We start from the raw sequence: 17,823 nt of genomic DNA, 5'->3' as shown, positions 1-17,823 counted from the left end.
AGTTGCAGATTGTGCTGCTATAAACATGCGTGTGCAAGTGTCTTTTTTGTATAATAATTTATTTTCCTCTGGGTAGATGCCCAATAGTGGGATTACTGGATCAAATTGTACTTCTATTTTTCATTCTTTGAAGAATCTTCACACTGTCTTGCATAGTAGTTGTACTAGTTCACACTCCCAACAGCAGTGTAGAAGTGTTCCCTGTTCACCACATCCATGCCAACATCTATTATTTTTTTATTTTTTGATCATGGCTATTCTTTCAGGAGTAATTCGATATCATGTTGTGGTGTTGATTTGCATTTCCCTGATCATTAGTGATGTTCAGCATTTTTTCGTTTGTTGGGCATTAGTATACTTTCTTTTGAGAATTGTCTGTTCATGTCCTTATCCCACTTTTTGATGGGATTGTTTGTAATTTTCTGGCTGATTTGTTTGAGTTCATTGCAGATTCTGGATATTAGCCCTTTATCATATGTACAGATTGTGAAGATTTTCTCTCACTCTATGTGTTGTCTGTTTACTCTGCTGACTGCTCCTTTTGTCATGCAAAAGGTCTTTAGTTTAATTAAGTCCAAGTAATTTATCTTTGTTTTTATAGCATTTGCTCTTGGGTCCTTGGCCATGAATTCCTTGCCTGAGCCAATGTCTACAAGGGTTTTCCCAATGTTATCTTCTAGAATTTTTACAGTTTTAAGTCTTAGATTTAAGTCCTTAATCCATCGTGAGTTGATTTTTGTATAAGATTAGATATGAGGATTTAGTTTCACTCTCCTACATGTGGCAAGCCAATTATCGCAGCACCATTTGATAAAAGGTTGTCCTTTCTTCACTTTATGTTTTTGTTTGTTTTGTCAAAGATCAGTTGGCTATAAGTTTGTGGGTTTATTTCTGGATTCTCTATTTTGATCCATTGATCTATGTTCCTTTTTTTATACCAGTATCACGTTGTTTTGGTGAAATATGGCCTTAGAGTATAGTTTGAAATAGATAATGTGATGCCTTCAAATTTGGTCTTTTTGCTTAGTCTTGCTTTGTGTATGCAGGATATTTTTGGGTTCCATATGCATTTTAGAATCTTTTTTTTCTAATTCTATGAAGAATGATGGAATGGTAGTAGTTTGACCTAAATCATTCTATGAAGCCAGTGTCACCCTAATATCAAACCAAGAAAGGACCTAACCAAACAAGAAAACTACAGACCAATATTCCTGATGAACGTAGATGTTGAAATCCTTAACAAAATACTAACTAACCAAATCCAACAACTTATCAAAATGATAATTCTGCATGATCATGTGGGATACCAGGGTTGCAGAGACAGTTTAACACACACAAGTCAATAAATGTGATACAGCAAATAACCAGAATTAAAAACAAAAATTACATGATCATCTCAATAGATGCAGAGAAAGCATTCAACAAAATCCAGTATTCCTTTTTGATTAAAACTCTCAGAAAAATTGGCATACAAGGGACATACCTCAATGTAATAAAAGCCATCTATGACAAACTTACAGCCAACATAATACTGAATGGGGAAAAGTTGAAAGCATTCCCTCTGAGGACTGGAACAAGACAAGTATGCCTACCCTCACCACTCCTCTTCAACATAGTACTGGAAGTCCTAGCCAGAGCAATCAGACAAGAGAAAGAAATAAAGGGCATCCAAATCGGTAAAGAGGAAGTCAAACTGTTGCTGTTTGCTGATGACATGATCACTTACCTAGAAAACCCTAAAGACTCCTCCAAAAAGCTCCTACAACTGATAAAAAAAAAAAAAAAAAATTCAGCAGAGGCCAGGCGTGGTCGCTCACGCCTGTAATCCCAGCACTTTGGGAGGCTGAGACGGGCGGATCACAAGGTCAGGAGATCGAGACCATCCTGGCTAACACAGTGAAACTCCGTCTCTACTAAAAATACAAAAAATTAGCCGGGCATAGTGGCGGGCACCTGTAGTCCCAGCTACTCAGGAGGCTGAGGCAGGAGAATGACGTGAACCCGGGAGGCGGAGCTTGCAGTGGACCGAGATCGCGCCACTGCACTCCAGCCTGGGCGACAGAGTGAGTCTCCGTCTCAAAAAAAAAAAAAAAAAAAAATTCAGCAGAGTTTCCGGATACAAAATTTATGTACACAAATCAATAGCTCTTCTATAAACCAACAACAAGCTAGCTGAGAATCAAATAAAGAACTCAATCCCTTTTAAAATAGCTGCAAAAAAATAATAAAATACTTAGGACTATACCTAATAAAGGAGGTGAAAGACCTCTAGAAAAAAAAAACACTGCTGAAAGAAATTATAGATGGCACAAACAAATGGAAACACATCTCATGTTCATGGATGGGTACAATCAATATTGTGAAAATTGACCATACTGCCAAAAACATCTTTTTATTTTGGTTTAGTAAAATTCCATTCCCTTCTTTCTTTGTGGCACTGGTTATGAGCTGGGCTACTAGCCTCTGGGGCCATGCTAAGAGAAAATACAAGCTGAAGAGCAAACGATGCTGTGTCACTATGAATCAGCAGCTGGGAAATGGAAAGACATTTCACTAAAAAATGAAAGAGCACTTTACAGGTTTTCTTTCAGTATTGAACTTTAAGAAGATCTTCTCCCAGAGCTAAGTCTTTAGGTGGTTTCCAAAGTGTAAATAAAGCTTAGACCAGTGCAGGGAAGTTCCTCAGCATGGTCTCAAGACAGAAATGACTGCCTAATGAAGGTCAGGTGCTGGACTGGACAGTGAGTTGAATCAGCTTTCCAGGAGAATCAAAGCTACTTGGCCAGTCCAAAGCTAACATGAAGTGGGGGGAGTCAGAAGGAGGTCAGTGGTAACAAAACTCTCATGAAGGAGCAAAGTAGGCAAGGAAAAGAGATCTCAGAGAAGAGTGTTACTGAGTCAGCACTGTCCAAAATCAGCTTATGAGCTGGACTTTGCTTTCATGCTGGGCGCTTATTTAACTTTCTTCAGAAAACTATGAGAAATGAGGTTTTTTGTTGTTGTTTGTTTTTTTAGGATACCCTCTTAAACTGTACAACTTTGCTCCCTAATCTCATTCACCAATGTATACTGGGCTTTGGTAAGCTATAAATAGAAGGAAGTATCAGTTGCTTCAAAACAACTTTAGTGTTTCAGAAACCAATTTCTCACTTCTCCCATTAGAAATATTAGAGTTTTATGTTTTCTAGTCCATGCTGAGAGAAAATTTTCTCCGTGTTTGAATATTTGTTTTACATATATTTATTTTCTCAAAAAACTAAAAAAATACTTCTGAAGCTCACATCAACCAAGTTGTTGAGTAATCCACTCCCTTTTCATGTTTTCTCCTTTGCTGAACTAAAAGTGGTATTTATAATGACATTAAGATCCTATGAAATTATTTTCCTCCCACTGGAATTTATTTATGTGTAAGAGGAAAGGGGTGAGTAGAGAGCCACTGAACTCACCCATCACCTAAATGAGGCTTGGGTTTGGCATTTTGGCACAAAACGAAGTTGAGCTGACACATCTCTGAGGTTAGGGCTTCCTGGCTGTTGTGTTCAAGAGGGTATAAATTATCAGTGACACTAGTGACACTTTGTTGAAGAATATGTTAGGGGATTCTGTGCTGATAGAGAAGAGTGCATAAACTTTGAAAAAATGCATACTTGACAAACATAAAGGAAATGAGAAGAGTGGAAGAGAGAAATGGATTTACAAACAATACTAATAATAGTAATTATAATAATGACAAGAAGAGGGGGATAGTAAAGAAGTGAAAGGTGGAAAGATAAAGCAGGTAACTTTCTGCTTATCTGTGCCCTACTTGGCTTTCTGATATTGGGACCAGTTGATTTCTGGGTAATAAGGTTGGTGATTCAGGTCCCATGAGTTCTATGTGGTGCAATACCTGAGGAAATGCTACTAGACCATAAAAGTTTTGTCCTCATGGGCAACTCGTGAGGCTTATCCCTGTGGAAACTTTTCCATTGTCATTCACATTAGTCTGTAGATAAGAGCTAAATATACTCCCACCTAATGCCCATAGAAAATATTCGTGGGCTCTCTATTGCCAAATGCCATCCTGGAGATCAAGGCCCCATGAAACATGACAGAGGGCTCTCTGATCCCACCTCAACTACACAAGAATTTTTAAAATCCAAACCTCTGAGGTGAATGTGGTAGAGCACTGCAAAAAAAGGGGCTTTATTCTGTGTGGCCTAAAATTACTCCATGTGGAAAGCTTTCCGTCACCGTATCAGCTAACATGATTATATAGGAAAGGACATAAATTTCAGCCATAGAGATTGAGAGAGTATATTCTACTCCACTGTGTCCAGGAAACTCAGACCTTCTCTTCCATCAACAAAACCCAATCAAATGGTGATCTGCTAATGGAAATTTAAAATAGAGAAAAAAATAGAAAAATCGAAACAAGTATTGTATTCATCTCCTTTCACTGACTCCATTGCTAGACATGTTGCTAAAATAGCTCCTTCATTGTAAGAGCTTGAGAGCTATTGACATTGCAGATAAGAAAAAAGGCACATGTACCCTAAAACTTAAAGTATAATAATAATAAAATTAAAAAAAAAGAAAAAAGGCTCTAAAGTTAAACTCAGTCTCAAAGTTAATGTATTTATGCAGAAACAGAAGGAGAATTAAAGAAAACAGTAGGATTTCAACTCAAGGCCTTCACATTGTTCCTAGGATCATGGCTGATTACACATTCTAGGTCTTAACTAAATGTCATTATTTCATTTGAAATTCAGTGGCAATATACTTTTTCTCACTTGTTCTCAGAACATTTGGTGAGATCAATTCATTTATCCAGCAACCTTTGTTCCTTGATTTACTTAATTAACATTAATGTATTGGTCTTTATATTGACAGCATTCAGATCAGTGACAGGATTTTAACATATTAAAAGTAAATTAATATTTACCAAAGCAGCATGAGTGAAAGAAGAAATAAAACAACACAAATAATTTCAAGTTATTAAGAATATTAATGATGTTTGAGGGAAACAAAGATTCAAATATTCTCACTGTAGGAGTTCCATAAAAGATAACAATGAGTAACAGGTTTTGGTTTGGGGCCTGATTGTGAAGGAGGATCTAGAATGCCCGACCAAGTTTGGACTTTACCCAAAAGGTAATAAATACCTATTAGTCTATGGGTTTTTGCACAGATGACAACTTGAAAGTAGCGGTGTTTTAGGGAAAAAATAATTATGGAAACAAGGATATACCGAATGATTGATAAGGAGACGATATGGAAGATAGATTAGAAAAACCACTAGAATAGTCGATTCAAGAGGAAACAGGGTACTAAATTATAGTGGAGAGATTGAGAATAAATCAGAGGAGACAGATAGAAACTTCTTGATAAAAGAAATAGCAGAACTTGTAGCTTGAGAGGCTTCCACTTTTCTGACTGTATTCATAAAGACTGGCAACTTGTCACATATGAAGACCATGGGATAATTCCTTAGGCTCAGCTAGCATTAACCTACTATCAGATATGAAGAGCCTTCAGTAAATATTAACTTTTCAAATTAACTGGGAAAAGGTGGAAAACCATGATCTCTTTGGGTAACTTATGAGGTTGTGTGAGTAAGTACTCTGGTTATTAACAAGAAAATTAAACTAAATTCCCAGTTGTGAACATTTGCTGCTCAAATTTGATGTATCTGACAAGGTCACTTTATTTGTGCTGGAGCACCTTATTTGTGCTAGAGCTTAAGTTTTTCCATCAACTCTTTTGCGGAGAGATAAAATTTAAAATATATTCATTAGAAGAGCTTATAACATGTACGTTCAAAAGGAAAGGTTGATCCAGGAAACAGATGAAGTAACACATTATAGATCTGTTATGATGTGTCTCAGTACACATGGCCATTTCAAAAGTATACCTAATACTGCCAGAAAGTACAATGTACTGAAGAAATAGTAATTGGAATACTTAGGCCCATAGGGCCACTTGTCTCTAGAGGAGAGGATGTAGGCCAACTCATGAATTTCTGCAGAACAATAACCCCCAAATTGCCTCTGGAAATGACCTCCATTCACCCTCTTTGAGGTAACTTAGATTCTTGAACTAGCTGTGTCAATTTCCTTCCATTATTTGTCAATTACCTAAGTCTTTACTGAGAATCTGCCATGACCCAGCTCTATGCATCATAGGGAAACCAATCTCATAGGAAACGGGTGAAGTTGCAGCCTGCCCTGTTTCATGGTTACACTACTTTTGAAATAATTTCAGATAATCTGCTGAGTTTTTCCTCAATTTTTGACATGTGAATTATCTATCTCAGAGGTCTGCAGAGACTTACTTTCAGTTAGTTAGGTTAAAAGATAACAGCAGTAGGTTCGAACTCAGGGATAATTGCAGAAGAAGTCATCATTTGAGTGTGTGTATATACATACTATCAAATATTTGATTATGTTAATGGAAATAAAACGTCATTCCTCAAACACCAAATAAAAACAATTAAACCAGCACATATAAATTCCTTCCAAGTAGTCAAACCAGTTGTAGGCATAAATCTGTAAAACAAACAAACAAACAAAACACACACACACACACACACACGCACAAACCACACACACTCCAAAGCCAAATGTAACTGATTTAGCGGATTGTCCTTCATTTTGAATATTACTTTCTCTCTTTCCAACAATACAAACTTGTCTAATGTCAGAATATTTTTGGATACTCTCCTTTCTTTGAGACAAAATTTATTCTATGATCCTCTATGGAAATTAGCTAAGCTGGAAGTTTGAATAACCTTCTGATATGGTTTGGTTGTGTCCCCACCCACCCAAATCTCATCTTGAATTGTAGCTCTCATGCTTCCCATGTGTCTTGGGAGGGACCTAGTCAGAGATAATTGAATCTTGGGGGCGAGTCTTTCCTGTGCTGTTCTCATGATAGTAAGTAAGTCTCATGAAATCAGGTGGTATTATAAAGGAGAGTTCCCTACACAAGCTCTCTCTTGCCTGCTGCCATATAAAAAGTGTCTTTGCTCTTACTTTGCCTTCTGCCATGATTGTGAGGCCTCCCCTCCCATGTGGAACTGTGAGTCAATTAAACCTATTTGCTTTATAAATTACCCAGCCTCAGGCATGTCTCTATTAGCACCATGAGAACCGACTAATACACCTTCTAACCCTTCCTCTGCTTATATGTATCTTTTAAGATTGACTTAAGGGTGATTCTACACACACATACACAGACACACACACACACACACACGACTTAAATAGACAATTCTTCAAAGAAGATAAACAAAGATGACCAATGAGCATATAAAACGATGCTCAACATCATTAACCATCAGGGAAATGCAAATAAAAATCACAATGAGATACTACTTTACATCCACTAGGATTGTGATATGTATTTTTTAAAAAAGAGAAAACCAGGTGTTGGGGACGATGCAGAAAAATTGGAACCCATATACACTGCTGATGGGTATGTAAAATAGTGTGGTCATATTTGAAAACAGTCTGGCAGTTTCTCAAAATTACAAATTGACCCAGATGTTCTATGAGTAGTTATATACATAAGAAAATTGAAAACATATTCACACAGAAATATTCTGTGCAGAGAAGTTAATATCAGAATTATTCATAACAGCCAAAAATTAAAAAAATCTATTAACTGATGAACTGAAAAATAAAATATTATATATAATTAAAATGGAATATTACTCAGCCATGAAAAATAATGAAGTACTGATACATGATACAACATGGATGAACTTTGAAAATATTCTAAGTAGAAAAGGCCAGTCACAAAACACAGCACTTTTTTACTTACATTTTTCCAGAGAAACAGAGCCAGCAAAATGTATGTGTGTGTGTGTTTGTGTGTGTGTATGCATGTGTGTATGTGTGTGTGTAGAGAAAGAGAGAGATTGAAAGAGGAAAGAGAGAGATTTTGTGAAACTGGCTCACATGATTATGGAGACTTTGTAAAGCCAAAATCTGCAGCATAGACCAGCAGGCTGGAGACCCAAGAAAGAAATACAATTTGAGTCCAAAGGCAGTCTACTGACAGAATTCCATTTTGCTCAGGAGAAATCAGTTTTTGTCCTACTAAAATCTTCAACTGATTTTAAAAGGCTCATCAAAATTATGGAGTGCGATATTTTTTACTCAAAGTCTACCAATTTAAATGTTAATCTTATCCAAAACACACCTTCATAAAATCTTACAGAATAATGTTCAACCAAATATCTGGGCACAATGGCCGAGCTAAGTTGACACATAAAATTAATAATCACAGCCATGTGTTAAATGATTCCATTCATATAAAAGGTACAGAAAAGGCAAATTCATAGACACAGAAAGTAAATTAGCGGTTACCTAAGGCTGTGAGGGGTTTGGGAACTGGGCACTGACTGCAAATGGGTACAGGGTTTCATTTGGGGGTGATGAAAGCGTTTTCAAGTAATTCACATGCACAACTCTTTGACTATATTTAAAACTACTGAACTGTACACTTCAAATATGTTATTTGTATGGTATGTGACTTATATTTTAATAGAGATGTTATTTATAAAAGGATTCAAGGCACAAAACATCATGCTATAATCCTGTTTTTCTTCACACAGGATGTCCAGCCAATTTACTCACCCCTAAACACACCTTCTGAAGTCTCATTTGCTTCCATTTCTTGTAATTTAGAGAAAAATTATCATCTACAAACTAACTTTAAAAATAAGTCTTTTTTTACTTAATAATAATAGTAGTAGTACTATCAGTTTTAGCTAACATTTATTGCACACTTACTATGTGAAAGAGACAATGTTTAGTACATTCAATTCATTTCATTCAATTCTCACAATAATCTCACAATTCAATTTTCACAACTTAAATAGTTAAGTTGTCCATGGCCACTTAATTAACTTCAGCATTAGTCATGAAGCAGAGACAGAATCCAAAATGAAATCTATTCGATTTCAATAGCTGCATTCTTAAATATAGTCTCATGCTTTCAATCACTTGTCAACCTCTCAAACTTTTAACACTAAGTTTGCATAGGAAACAATTAAAACTCAGATTTTTTTTTATTCCCTCAATAAAGAATACTTTTTTTTCCAACTCTTGTCCTTTACTATCTTTGAAACTTAGATCAAAATTCAACTTCTCCAAGAAGCCTTCCATGATCATCTTCTAGTGCACCTTCTTTTATTTCATCTTTCCCTAAAATTTAAGTATACTACCTTCCATTTTATTTCATATATTTTTTCAACATTTTAATAACATTTTGTATATATGTGTATTATCTTTTAAAATACATATTGATGGCCTACTATGAATAAGGTACTGTCCTGGATTCCATGAATGAAGTTTACAGAAAAAGTAAAATGACAATATATTTCTGTACTCTAGATGCATACAAACTATACAGATATGCATGTTTACATTTTTATATAAAAATGTTGATAACATTACCATGTCAGATATAATTAATTTACAAATAGTTATAGGCTATAATTGCTTTTGGAATCTAGAGAATTATAATAGCCAGAGAAGCCTCCCTAGATGAGAAGTGGTATGAACTATTTCTTGAAAGATGGACATGACTTAGACAAATAAAAGGAAAGTGAAAGGCCATTTTAGGCCAGGAGACTAGGGTTAATGATATAGGGTTGGGAAATGTTCGAGGAATATTTGAGTGAAAGCATAGCTGAAGCAGAAACTACATCTTTTGAATTATTTGAAGATTAGTCTAAACGTATAATGGAGTGATGTCAGATAATGAAGAGCCTGAATATTAGGTTAAATAATTTAGACTTGATTCTGTAGATAAATTGTCTAAAATCATTATAGGCCTCACAACCATCTCATAAAAGATGCACTCCAAACTTATTTGTTTATTTATAAATCATATTTACATACCACTATACTAATTAATGCATTGCATATATTATAAATGAACAGAAAATAAAATTTTAGAAGGGTAATCTAAAATAAATAACACGAAGTTTCTAATATTTTCTTTCCTTTCCCTAGTATATTATCTTGCATATTCCCTGTGGCACACACACTCCACTTTGATACACTGCTATAGGATATAGAGAGGATATTTCTGGGAGATGGACAACATCACTGAGGATGCAAGATTGCTTGTAGAAGATGGGAGACAAGGAGTATGCATTCATAATAGCATCAGTAATAATAACGTCTTAAACCAGGGTGATGGTAGTGAGAGTGGAAAAGAAGGGATAGATGTAAAAGGCATTATGAAAGTAGAATTGACAGAGTTGTTGAGTAATATGGAGACAGACAAAATGGGAAATATAGAAAAACATTGAAATTTCTATGCTGGAACAGAAGCCCTTGGGTAATTTCTAGATTTCAGATGGAAACTCATCCTGAAGGGAAAATGAGTCCCATTCTAGATATGTTATTTTGGGCACACCTGTAAAACAGACAGCTGGGAAATCTTTCAGAACAATCTTCTCTAAAATTATTTTGTCTGCCTCCACATCCCATGAATGCACTCCGGGATCTAACACACCAGGTTGCCTCTGTGTTTGCCATGGACACCTTCCAGGTCTCAGCTCTCTCTAGCACCTAATTCACAATCTATACTCCTCTCCCCACCAGCTGGTACCATGTGCCCTAGCCCTTTGGATAATGTACCTGAAAATGATACTGAGTATATTCTTCTCTTCCAGATTTTGACAAATGTGTTGCTTCACTCATTTTAAACAATCAATATTGCAGAAGACTCAAGTTACTAAAATCAGAAATAAAAGTTAGGATATCAGTTCTAAGTTTAGACAAATAAAAAAGATTACAAAAGTGCACTATGAAAACATTTACAATAAATAAGATAATCTAAATAAAATGGTCAAATCCCTGGAAACATATGACCTACCAAGAGTGAAACATAAAGAAATAGAAAATCTAAATACACATAACTAATAAGGAGATTGAAACAGTAATTAATATCTCCTAACAAAGAAAAGCCCTGGAACAGATAATTTCACTGGTGAATTCTACTGAACATTTGAAAAGGAATGTCTCAATTTTTAAAAAACTCCCAAAAAATTGAAGAAGGACAAACATTTTTGAAGTCATTATGAGGCCAGCATTACCTCATGATATGGTTTAGCTCTGTGTCCCCATCCAAATCTCATGTTGAATTGTAATCCTCGATGTTGAGGGAGGGACACGATGGGAGGTGATTGGATCACGGGGGCAGATTTCCCATTGCTTTTCTCATGATAGTGAGTGAGTTCTCATGAGATCTAATTGTTTGAAAGTGTGTAGCACTTTCTGCTTCACTGTCTTCTGCTCCAGTCATGTAGGACGTGCCAGCTCCTCCTTCGCTTTCTGCCATGATTGTAAGTTTCCTGAAGCCTCCATCAGCCATGCTTGCTGTACACCCTGTGAAACTGTGAGCCAATTAAAACTCTTTTCTTTATAAATTACCCAGTCCTAGGTACTTCTTTATAGCAATGTGAAAATGGGCTAATTCACCTTGATATCAAAGCCAGAGAAAGACACTGCAAGAAAATTACATACCAAATATATCATTTAAATATTGATGGAAAAATCTCTCAATTAAACACTACCAAACCAAATTCAGCAGACTGTTAAAATATTATACAACATGACAATTAGGATTTAATCCTGGAATGCAACGATTGTTGAAGATATGAAAATCAATATAATACATCACATTATCAGAATAAAAAGGAATAACACATGATCATTTCAATTGAAATGGAAAAAGCATTTGACAGAATACAATACATTGTCTTTATAAAAATATTAAACAAACTAGAAATAGAAGCAAATTATGTCAACATACTAAATGTTATGTGTGAAAAAAATCACAACTGACATCATACTCAGTGATGCAAGACTAAAAGCTTTTTCTCTAATATGAACAAGACAAAGATCCAGAATTCATCACTTCAATTCAACATAATATTGGAAGTTCCCAGAGTACTTATGCAAGATAAAGAAATAAAGGATATCAAATTAAAAAGGAAGAAGTAAAATTAGCTCATCTGCAAATGACATGATCTTATATGTGGAAAACACGAATGATACTACACATTTAGAAAACACATTTGAAAATAATAAATCAATTAGAGAATGTTGTCAGATCCAATATTAATATGCAAAATCACTTACATTTCTACATAATAACAAAGAACAAACCTAAAATGATATTAGTATAGGTAAATTTAAAAAGACAAAAATATTAGTTGTTGTATAGGACTGGAGAGAGGGTGATATGAGGAGTTATTGTTTAATGGATACAGAATTTCAGTTTGGGAAGATAATATTCTGGATTTGGATGAAGTTGATGGTTGCATAGCAATGTGAATGTACTTAATACCATTGAACCATACACATAAAAGTGGTTTAAAATGGTGAGTTTTGTGTTATGTATATTTTACCACAATATAATAAATGTAATTAAAAGAAAAAGAGAAAACAATCCTACTTAAAATAACATCAACGAGAACATAAAATGTCTAAAATATTTAGATAATATAAAACAAGAAGAATAAAAACTTGTTCAAAAGAGGACTTTGTATTGAATCTTTGATACCAACTCAGCCATAGTAGGACAGGGCACTGGATCTAGATGTGAAGCCCCCATTCTTGGCTCTAACACTTGAACAACATTTCTAGACACACCCTGGGCTGGAAGAGAGCCCACTGCATTGACTGGAAGAACCTAGTAATTATGATACCAATCACTTGCTGACTAAGGAACCCTTAGGCACTGAATAACCAGCAGCAATACCCAAGTAGTATGCCATGGGCCTTGGGTGAGACTCTAAGACATTCTGACTTCAGGTGAGACACAGCACATTCCCAGGTATGGTGGCTACAGTTAGATGAAGTACTGTGTCTTGCACCTTAGGTACAGCTAGAGAACAGGGCATAGAGCACCAAGAATGTCTCGGGGTCCGCAATTCCAGGCCAAGGCTCTGGGATAGCATTTCTGGATCTGCCCTGGGTGAGAAGGTAGCCCATTGTCCTGAAGGGTGAGTCTCAGGCCTGACAACATCCACCAGAAGCTGACTAAAGAGCCCTTGGACCTTAAGTGAACATTCATGATATCCTGGCCATATTCCCTGTGGGCCTGTGTTGGCAGTGGCCACGTGGTGAAGCTCCTTTGTCTGTTGAAAGGGGAACGAAGAGTGGGAACAACTGCTCTTGTGGTTTGAGTGCCATCTCAGCAGCAGTACAACAAAACATCAGGTATATTTCTAAGGTTTTTTACTGTAGTCCCTGGTGCCTAGAGAGCATGTCTGGACCCACCTCAGGCCTGGGGAAACTTGCTATCCTAAAGGAAAAGACAGCCTTAACAGCTTTACCTGATGATTGTACACCCTTAGGACCTTGAACAAACATAGGCAGTAGCCAGGGAGTGGTTACAGTGGGCCTGAGACCCGGTGCTGTGCTGACTTTAGGTCTGACCCAGTGCACTCCCAGTGGTAGTGGCCATGGGGTGCTTGTGTCACTTCACCCCTAGATACAAGTGGCTCAGCACAGAAAGAGATACTCTGTTTACCTGGAAGAAAATAAGGGAAGAGAACAAGAGTCTCTGCCCATCAATCCAGAATATTTTTCTTGATTTATCCAAGACCACCAAGGTGATATCTCTATGAGTCTGAAGCAACCACAGCATTACTGGGCTTGGGGTGTGTATTAGTCTGTTCTCACACTGCTAATAAAGACATACCCAAAACTGGCTAATTAATAAAGGAAAGAGGTTTAAAGGACTCATAGTTCCACGTGGCTGAGGAGGCCTCACAATCATGGCAGAAGGCAAAGGAGAAGCAAAGTCATGTCTTACATGGTGGCAAGCAAAAGAGCGTGTGCAGGAGAAACTTCCATTTATAAAACCATCAGATCTTGTGAAACTTATTCACTACCATGAGAACAGTTTGGAGGAAAATGCCCCAATGATTCAGTTATCTCCACCTGGCCTCACCCTTGTCATGTGGGGATTATTATAATTCAAGGTGAGATTTGGGTGGGGACACAGCCAAATTATATCAGGATGCCTTCTATGGAAGGTACAGCTTAGATCACAGTACCCAAGTCGTTTCAAATACTTGGAAAGGCATCCCAAGAACATGCAAATATGAATCTAGAGTGTGAAGATTGCAGTAAATATGTAACTCTTCAATGTTCAGACACGGAAGAAATTCTACAAGCATAAACACCATCCAAGAAAACATGACCTCATAAAACAAACTAAATAATGCACCAGGGACCAATCCTGGAGAAACAGAGGTATGTGACCTTTCAGATAGAGAATTTGAAATAACTGTTTTGAGGAAATTCAAAAAGAATTCAATATAACACAGTGAAGAAATTCAGACTTTTATCAGATGAATTTAGCAAAGAGATTGAAATAATTAAAAAGAACCAAGCAGAAATTCTGGAGTTGAAAATACAATTGACATACTGAGGAATGCATCAGAGACATTTAATGGGCATAATTGATCAAGTGGAAGGAAGAATTGGTGAACTTGAAGATAGGCTATTTGAAAATACACAGAGGAGACAAAAATAATAGTAATAAAAAAGAAGCACATAAACAAAATCTGGAAAATAGCCTCTGAAGGGCAAATCCAAGAGTCTTAAAGAGGTGGTGGAAAAAGAGATAAGTGTAGAAAATTTATTCAAAGAGATAATAACAGAGAACTTCCCAAACATAGAGAAATATATCAATATCCAAGTATAAAAAGGTGATAGAACACCAAGCAGATATAATCCAAAGACATCTACCTCAAGGCATTTAATAATCAAATTGTCAAAGGTCAAAGATAACAAAAGGATCATAAAAACAGCAAAAGAAAAGAAAGAAATAACATACAATGGAGCTCCAATATATGAGAGTGGCGTGACATATTAAAATTGCCAAAGAAAAAAACAAAAATTTTTACCCTAGAACAGTATAACCATTGAAAATATTCTTTAAACATGAAGAAGAAATATTTTTCCAGACAAACAAAACCTGGAGGACTTACTCAACATCAGACCTCTCCTACAAGAAATGCTAAAGGAAGGAATACTTCAATCATAAAAAAGAACATTAATGAACAATAAGAAATCATCTGAAGGTATAAAATTCACTGGCAACAGTAAGTAAACAAAAAACCCCACAGAATATTATAACACTGAATCTCTGGTATGCAAACTATTCTTAACTTAAAAAGGAAGACTAATAGATGAACTAATAAAAAATAATAACTACAATAAATTTTAAGACATAGTACAATAAGATATAAACAGAACCAACAAAAAGTTAAAAAGTGGGGGACAAATTTTTGATTTAGGGTTTTTATTAGCTTTCTTTTTGTTTTGCAAATGCTTCTACGTTGTTATCAGCTTAGAATAATGGGTTGTAAGGAAATATTTATATTTCTCATCATAACTTCAAATCAAAAAACATACAAGAGATATAAAAAAAATAAAGATAAAAAAGAAATTAAATCATATCACTAGAGAAAACCACCTTCACTAAAAGGAAGCCAGGAAGGAGGAAAAGAAGGGAGTTAGGAAAACAAGCAACAACATGGCAATAGTGTGTCCTTACTTATCAATAACATTGAATATAAAGGGACTAAACTCTCTAACAAAATGACACAGAATGGCCAAATGGGTAAGACAACAAGACACTATAATCTGTTGCCTGCATGATGCATACTTTACCTATAAAGGTACACAAAGACTGAAGATAAATAAATGAAATGTGTAGCAAGATAGCCAAATAGAAGCCTACACCATTTGTTCTCCCTGCAAGAACACCAAATTTTAACAACTAACTTCACACAGAAAGCACTATTACAAAAACCATAAATAAGTGAGCAACCACAGTACCTGGTTTTACTGAAAAAGACATTGAAGATGGCAGGAAAAACAGTCTTGAAGAGCCAATTCAACCCCTCCCCCATCCCCTGGCAGTGGTTGTGCGGTGCAGAGCACAGTCATTGTGAGGCTTTGAATTAAAGTCAGTGCTGCCCTGTCACAATGGAAAGTAGAATTGGCCTTCACTCACCTGACATTTTTCCATGAAGGAAGCACTTGGACTGGCCCTAGCCGGAGGGTAATCACCCATTCCAGTAGTCAGAGTGTGAGTTCTGGGAAGCCTCACCATTGTAGACTGCAGTGCTCTGGGACCCCAAGTGAACTTGAGTAGCAGTCTGGGCCACAAGGACTGCAAATACTAGGCAAGTCCTACTGCTGAACTTGGCTCAGAGCCAGTGGACTGGGCAGGCAGGTGACCTAATGAGACACCAGGAGGAGTAGCTAAAGAGCATGCTTGTACCATCCCCCTCCCATCCCCCCTGAAGCAGCCACATAGCTTGGAGAAAACTGTGCACCTGGGAAAAGATAGCAAAGGAACTGGGAGGTTTCACATTGAATTCAATGCTGCCTTGCAAATATTGTTAAGTTGTTATGAGCTTAAAATAATGGGTTATAAGATATTACTTGCAAGAGTCATGGTAACTTCAAATTGGAAAACATGCAACAAATACTCAAAAAATGAAAAGCAAGAAACTAAATCATACTAACAAAGAAAATTACCTTCACTAAAAGGAAGACAGAAAAAAAGGAAAGAAGGAAGAGGAGACTTCAAAACAACCTGAAAACAAATAACAAAATGACAAAAGTAAGTTCTTACATATCAATGATAACATTGAAGGTAGATAGATTAAACTCGCCAAACAAAATATATAAAGTGGTTGAACAGATTTGTTTTAAGAGACTCAGTGATCTGCTGCCTTCAAGAAATGCATTTTACCTATAAACCTAAACATAGACTGAAAATAAAGGGATGGAAAAAGATACTTCATGGCAATGGAAACCAAAAAAGAGCAGAAATAGCTCTACTTATACCAGACAAAATAGATTTCAAGACGAAAACTGTAAGAAGAGACAAAGAAGGTCACTATATATTGATAAAAGGTCAGTTCATTAAGAGGTTATAACAATTTTACTTATATGTGCACCCAACACAAGAGCACCCAGATACATAAAGCAAATACTATTAGAGCAAAAGAGAGAAACAGACCTCAATACAATTATAGCTGGAGACTTCAATACCCCACTTTCAGCATTGGACAGATCATACAGGCAAAAAATAAACAAACATCAGACTTAGTCTACACTATAGAATAAATGGGCCTGATAGATATTTACAGAACATTTCATCCAATGGCTGAAATACACATTATTCTCCTCAGCACATAGATCATTCTCAAGAATAAAGCACATATTCGGTCAAAACAAGTCTTAAAACATTTAAAAAAATTGAACTAATGTCAAGCATCTTCTCTGACTACATGGAATAAAACTAGATATCAATCAGAAGATGAATTTTGGAAAATATACAAACACATTAAAATTGAAGAATATGCTCCTGAATGACCAGGGGGCAGATAAAGAAATTAAGAAAATTGAATATTTTCTTGAAACAAATGATAATGGAAACACAATATATAAAAACCTATGGGATACAGCAAAACTATACAAATAGAGAGATAGATAACTATAAGTGCCTACATCAAAAAAAAAAAAAAGAAAACATTCAAGTAAATAACATAATGATGTATCTCAAGAATTAAAAAGCAAGAGCAAACTAAACCCAAACATAGTGGAACAAAAGAAATACTATCACAGCAGAAGTAAATTAATTTGAACTTAAGAAAACAATATGAAAGATTCACAAAACAATAAGTTGTTTTATTAAAGATAAATAAAATTGACAAACATTTAGCTACATTAAATAAGAAAAAAGAGAAGACCCAAATAAATAAAATGATAAATAAAAAGGGAGACA

General features: G+C 35.8%; 1 annotated feature.

The window, feature by feature from the left end:
- Positions 2,547-2,666: an enhancer, noted in NCBI's record as "active region_29788". NCBI's record gives its function as "activates an Ori minimal core promoter by ATAC-STARR-seq in GM12878 lymphoblastoid cells {active_cell/tissue: GM12878}" and the evidence as "EXISTENCE:reporter gene assay evidence [ECO:0000049][PMID:35858748]".

Source organism: Homo sapiens, chromosome X, assembly GCF_000001405.40.
Source record: "Homo sapiens chromosome X, GRCh38.p14 Primary Assembly".
In the NCBI taxonomy this organism is placed as follows: domain Eukaryota; kingdom Metazoa; phylum Chordata; class Mammalia; order Primates; family Hominidae; genus Homo; species Homo sapiens.
This window is presented reverse-complemented; position numbering and strand designations above follow the sequence as displayed.